The sequence below is a fragment of the Homo sapiens genome, chromosome 19, assembly GCF_000001405.40.
Source record: "Homo sapiens chromosome 19, GRCh38.p14 Primary Assembly".
Taxonomy (NCBI): domain Eukaryota; kingdom Metazoa; phylum Chordata; class Mammalia; order Primates; family Hominidae; genus Homo; species Homo sapiens.
In genome coordinates, this window is record NC_000019.10 from 1,689,567 (window position 1) to 1,695,873 (window position 6,307).

Genomic DNA, 6,307 nt, shown 5'->3' on the forward strand with positions numbered 1-6,307 from the left:
TTTTTTTTTTTTAGACGGAGTCTGGCTCTGTCACCAGGCTGGAGTGCAATGGCATGATCTCGGCTAACTGCGACCTCTGTCTCCAGGGTTCAAGCGATTCTCCTGCCTCAGCCTCCCAAGTAGCTGGGACTACAGGCATATGCCACCATGCCCAGCTAATTTTTTGTATCTTTAGTAGAGACGGGGTTTCACCATGTTGGCCAGGCTGGTCTTGAACTCCTGACCTTGTGATCCACCTGCCTCAGCCTCCCAAAGTGTTGGTACTACATGGTGAGCCACCATGCCCAGCCTAATTTTTGTATTTTTAGTAGAGTAGAGACTGGGTTTCTTTTTTTTTTTTTTTTTTTGAGACAAAGTCTCACTCTGTCGCCCAGGCTGAAATGCAGTGGCGCGATCTCGGCTCACTACAAGCTCCACCTCCCAGGTTCACGCCATTCTCCTGTCTCAGCCTCCGGAGTAGCTGGGACTACAGGCGCCCACCATCACGCCCGGCTAATTTTTTTTTATATTTTTAGTAAGACGGGGTTTCACCGTGTTAGCCAGGATGGTCTCGATCTCCTGACCTCGTGATCCGCCCGCCTCGGCCTCCCAAAGTGCTGGGATTACAGGCGTGAGCCACCGCGCCCGGCGAGACTGGGTTTCACCATGTTTGCCAGGATGGTCTCGAACTTCTGACCTCATGATCAGCCCGACTCGGTCTCCTAAAGTGTTGGGATTACAGGTGTGAGCCACCGCGCCCGGCCTGATTTTTTATTTTTTGTTAGAGACGGGGGTCTCTCTGTGTTGCTCAGGCTGATCTCAACCCCCTGGCCTCAAGCGATCCTCCCACCTCAGCCTCCCAACGTGCTGGGATTACAGGCGTGAGCCACTGCGCCCGACAGACAGTTGGCATTTCTTTCTGGAGCCGCCTGGTAGGAAGGAGGAGGTTGGCAGTTTGAGGACAATTTTGCATGAGTTTGGAAATTGGTGGTCTGGGGGAGGCTGAGGCCGGATTCCCTGTAAGCCTTCTAGAGGCAGCCGGACCCGAGTTCAGACCCTCTGTGGGCCTTGGGCAAGCTGCTTGGCTTCTCAGAGCCTCAGTTTCCCCATCTGTGAGACAGGTGATTTGCAGCGAGGGTGAAATGAGGTGGAGTTCCAAAGCAGCAAGTCAGAGGCTGGGTGGCAAGAACGAAATATACTCCGTGTCAAAGGAACCACTGCTGCAGTCCACACCCCCGCCCTGCTAGACCCTCAGCTCCTGCAGGGAGAGGCCGGCTGACTGCGTTCTGTGTCGCTTCTCCAGAGCCTGGATGTGGAAGGGAGGGAGGGAGGTCGCAAATGTCCCCTTCCCTCTAGGGGACCTGGCGTCACGCCCCATGAGAAAGCCGGCCACAGCAGGCCACGCCCAAACACAGGCCACGCCCACACAAGGCAGCGCCCCTCCACCAAAGCCACGCCCACCTGCCCCGCCCCTCGTCAGTTGCCTCCACATGAGGCCACGCCGCACCCACTCGGTTCCCCTCTCTGAACTCATGGGAATGACCCAAGCAGGTCTTGTCTTTGCGCCTCAGTTTCTCCAACACGGAAGTGGCCACAGCTGATTTCCGTGCCTCTGTCTGAGCTGGGAAACGACCCTCACCGGCTTGGAGGAAGCCTTGGTCCCCAGCCCGGCCCCCATCTCCGCGCCGGCTTGCACTCCCCAGGGACGGGGAGCTCACCCCCTCCCAGAGCCCTGGAGTGGAGGTTTGATGCCTGTCAGGCTGGGGCCCGGGGATGGGTCTGGGGGAGGCACTTCTGAGAAAAGGTGGAAACGGTTCTCAGAAACCCCGAAACCCTGAGGGACTCTTTTCCTTCTCAGAAATGCTCCCCCCGCCCCAGACTCGGGAAAACGCCTGTTCGAGAAAGCTGGGCTGGCTGTGGGCAAGAGGCTTGGACCGGCCCCTGTGGAGCCCCTGCTCCAGGCTGCTGGGAATGTCCCCCTTCTCCAGCTGTGACCTCCACCCCAGGCAAGTGTTTCCTGCCACCTGCCTGTCCCCAAGGGGTCCCCATGTTCCCCGCCTGCTGCCGTCCACCTGCCGTGTCCTCTGTCCCTCCCCACACGGGGCAGGGGGCCACTGTGACCTGAAGCCCGTCCTCCCCACCAGCTTGGCCATGCTAGACACAGGGGCCTCCCCAGAGTGTATCCTCCCCAAAACAGCCCAGGAACACACCACACCCCACCCCCGAATTTGCAGCCCTGGGGCGGGCTGTGGACTCACCAGCTGATGGCGGCCCCTGACGGTGGTCTCAGCCAGGGCCCTGCCGGGAAGAGAGAGACTCATCCTCAGTCAGGTGTTAATCCACCTGTGCCCCTCACTTGTCCCAGGTGCCCATGAGAAGGAAGGGGGCCGTGGGCAGCTGATGGCCAAAATGCAGGGGAGCCCCAGTGTCAGGGAGGGACACAGCACCTGCCCCGAAAATCCAGGCAGTCCTTCCGGAAGGAGCCGGAGCCTCTGTGTGTGGAGACGGGTGGGAGGTCCCCAGCCTGGCGCCCGGCTGCCCCTGTGCCTAGGGTGTCCTAGTTCAGAGGTCCCCACTGTCCCCGCTTTGGGGTCTCCCATAGGGTAACCCCCCCATGAAGGCCCTGCAACCCTCTCCCCTCCCCTGGTGTGTCCCCCCTCCTTCTGAAATCACTAATGGGTTACCTCCTCTAGCCTCCAAATTTCCCAGCCTCCAAATTGATTCTTCCAATATAGCATCCTGACAGGGCGCGGTGGCTCACGCCTGTAATCCCAGCACTTTGGGAGGCAGAGGCGGGCGGATCATCTGAAGTCAGGAGTTTGAGACTAGCCTGGCAAATATGCTGAAACCCCATCTCTGCTAAAAATACAAAATTTTGAGACGGGGGTCTCACTCTGTCGCCCACGCTGGAGTGCAATGGCACGATCTCGGCTCACTGCAACCTCCGCGTCCCGGGTTCAAGAGATTCTCCTGCCTCAGCCTCCTAAGTAGCTGAGATTACAGGCATGTGCCACCATACCCGGCTAATTTGGCATTTTTAGCAGAGATGGGGTTTCAGCATGTTTTCCAGGCTTGTCTCAAACTTCTGAATTCAGACGATCCGCCCACCTCGGTCTCCAAAGTGCTGGTATTACAGGTGTGAGCCACTGCACCTGGTCAGAATGCCTTATTGGAAGAATCAATCTTCTTTCTTTCTTTCTTTCTTTCTTTCTTTCTTTCTTTCTTTCTTTCTTTCTTTCTTTCTTTCTTTTTTTTTTGGGTTGGAGTCTCGCTCTTGTCGCCCAGGCTGGAGTGCAGTGGCACGATCTCAGCTCACTGCAACTTCTGCCTCCCAGGTTCAAGCAATTCTCCTGGCTCGGCCTCCTGAGTAGCTGGGATTACAGGCACCCACTGTCACACCCTACTAATTTTTGTATTTTTAGTAGAGATGGGGTTTCACCGCGTTGGCCAGGCTGGTCTGGAACTCCTGACCTCAAATGATCCTCTCGCCTTGGACTTCCAAAGTGCTGGGATAACAGGCGTGAGCCACCGCGCCCGGCAAGAAGAATCAATTTTCAGAATGTGGGTGTGTCAGACAGATGCAAGCAGAGTCCTGTCCTCCAGGTGGGGGTGCAGGCTGGGTGCCTGCCCTGCAGCTGCTGTAATAAATGACCTCAAATTTATTGGCTCGAAACTTCACAGATTTATGCTTTCATGGTTCAGGAGATAAGAAATCCTAAAATCAAGGCATGGGCAGGGCTGGTCCCTCCTGGAGGCTCCAGGGGAGAACCCATTTCCTGCCTTTCCCAGGGTCTAGAGGCGTCCGCATCCCTCATCTTAGGGCCCTTTCTCCCCCTTCACAGCCACAGTGCTGCCTTTTCCAGTCTCTCTCTGACTCCCCAGGCTGGGGTGCAGTGGCACCATCTCAGCTCACTGCAACCTCTGCCTCCCAGGTTCAAGCGATTCTCCTGGCTCAGCCTCCTGAGTAGCTGGGATTACAGGCACCTGCCACCACGCCCAGCTAATTTTGTATTTTTAGTAGAGACGGGGTTACACCATGTTGGCCAGGCTGGTCTCGAACTCCTGACCTCAAGTGATCCACCCACCTTGGCTTCCCAAAGTGCTGGGATCACAAGCATGAGCCACTGCTCCTGGCCCTCCCGCCGCCTCTTAAAAGAACCCTGTGAGGACATTGGGCATCCCCCAGATAATCCAGTATGATCTCCTATCCAAGGTCCTTCATTTAGTCCCATCTGCAGAGTCCCTTTAGGGATGTAAAGTGACCTATCCATAGGTTTCAGGGATTAGGATTCGGGGGTGCACATCTGTGGGGGGCCACTATTCAGCTCGCCCAGAGGACACTTCCCTACACAACTCCCCCATTCCTGACCCTACCTTGGAGCTGGGAGATGTTCACAGCCTCTGAGGCTGCCAGGAACACTGCAAACCCCCAGAGATTAGATGATCTCCAACATATTCCAACGATTTACTTGGCAAGCATTTGTTAAGTGCCTGCTGTCTACCAGGCCCATCTGGCTGGTCCGGCTTCATGGATGTGTAGCCCAGTGGTTCAGGGTTTCATGTTTGGCTTAATGCTCTGGTGTCTGTCACCATCTTGATGCTTTTGCTAATTTGATCTTTGAACTTGTGTGTGTGTGTGTGTGTGTGTGTGTGTGTGTGTGTGTTTGTTTGTTTTTAATGCAGTCTCGCTCTGTCACCCAGGCTGGAGTGCAGTGGTGTGATCTCAGCTTACTGTAATCTTTGCCTCCCAGGTTCAAGTGATTCTTCTGCCTCAGCCTCCTAAGTAGCTGGGATTACAGGTGTGAGCCACCACACCCGGCTAATTTTTTTGTATTTTTAGTAGAGATGGGGTTTCACCACATTGGCCAGGCTGGCCTCAAACTCCTGACCTCGTGATCTACCCACCTTGGCCACGCCCAGCCTGAACTTGTGTTTTATAAGTGAAGTCCAGTGGAACAGTGGAGCGAGCCTGTGAGCAAGGGAGGTCCTGAAAACGTGTGTGCTTAGCTATTCCATGTTGGTCTGTTTGCACCTAGTGGTCACTATGCCCAGGGGCACAGAGATCCAGGATCCCACAGCTCATGAGAGTTCAGCGAGACCCAAAACGAGTACCAGGTGAGTGTGTGAGAGAGTTGGTAGAATAGGCGTGCACGAAGAGGTAAAATAAAGGCTGGGCATGGTGGCTCATACCTGTAATCCCAGCGCTTTGGGAGGCCAAGGTGGGAGGATTGCTTGAGCCCAGGAGCTCAAGACTAGCCTGGAAAACATAGCAAGACCCCATCTCTAAAAAACAAAAAAATGAACAAACAATAAGCCGAGCATGGTGGTACATGCCTCCAGTCCCAGCTACTCTGAAGGCTGATGCTGGAGGGTTGCTTGAGCCCAGGAGGTTGAGGTGGCAGTGAGCTGTGATTGCACCACTGCATTCCCACCTTGGCAACAGAGTGAGATCCCATCTCCAAAAAAAAGAAAAGAAAAGGAAAGAAAAAGTGAAATAAAAACAGGTTAATTTTGTTCAGTGTTTCAGTTGTTCCCATCAGAACCAAACACATATGCTCATGCAATCTCCAAAACACAAATGGCCTAATTTAGGTGATTCTGTAGACAAGTCACATGTTCTTAAAGAACCATAGCCAATATTTCCAGACCAAATGATGAAATTCTTTCAATAGTTGTATTTAAACCTGGCATTACATAGCATAAAGATGAATGGTCAAATTCACAATAATAAATTAAATTTTAAAAATTTTAGGCTTAAAAAAATTTAAAAGTTTTTTAAAATTTAAAAATTAAAAAAATTTTAGGTGGTTCACGCCTTTGGGATCCCAGCACTTTGGGAATTCGAGGTGAGAGGATCATGCGAGCCCAGGAGTTTGAGACCTTCCTGGCTAACACAGTGAGACCCCATCTCTACAAAACAATGAAAACATCAGTCAAGTGTGGTGGATATGGCTTGGCTGTGTCCCCACCCAAATCTCATCTTGCATTGTAGCTCCCACAATTCCCACGTGTCGTGGGAGGAACCCTGTGGGAGGTGATTGAATTATGGGGGCGGGTCTTTTCTGCGCTGTTCTCGTGATAGTAAATGAGTCTCGCGAGATCTGATGGTTTAAAAACGGGCGTTTCCCTGCACAAGCTCTCTCTGCCTGCTGCCATCCATGTAAGGCATGACTTGCTCCTCCTTGCCTTCCACCATGATTGTGAGGCCTCCTCAGACGTGTGGAAGTGTGAGTCCATTAAACCTCTTTTTTTTTTCTTTTCTTTTCTTTTATTGAGGTGGAGTCTCGCTCTGTCACCCAGGCTGCAGTGCAGTGGCGTAATCTTGGCT

The 6,307-nt window shown here is 53.4% G+C and overlaps 2 annotated features.

The window, feature by feature from the left end:
- Positions 883-1,433: an enhancer, noted in NCBI's record as "H3K4me1 hESC enhancer chr19:1690448-1690998 (GRCh37/hg19 assembly coordinates)". NCBI's record gives its function as "activates a minimal SCP1, AML or CMV promoter by ChIP-STARR-seq in naive and primed H9 embryonic stem cells {active_cell/tissue: H9 hESC(naive and primed)}" and the evidence as "EXISTENCE:reporter gene assay evidence [ECO:0000049][PMID:30033119]".
- Positions 1,434-1,985: an enhancer, noted in NCBI's record as "H3K4me1 hESC enhancer chr19:1690999-1691550 (GRCh37/hg19 assembly coordinates)". NCBI's record gives its function as "activates a minimal SCP1, AML or CMV promoter by ChIP-STARR-seq in primed H9 embryonic stem cells {active_cell/tissue: H9 hESC(primed)}" and the evidence as "EXISTENCE:reporter gene assay evidence [ECO:0000049][PMID:30033119]".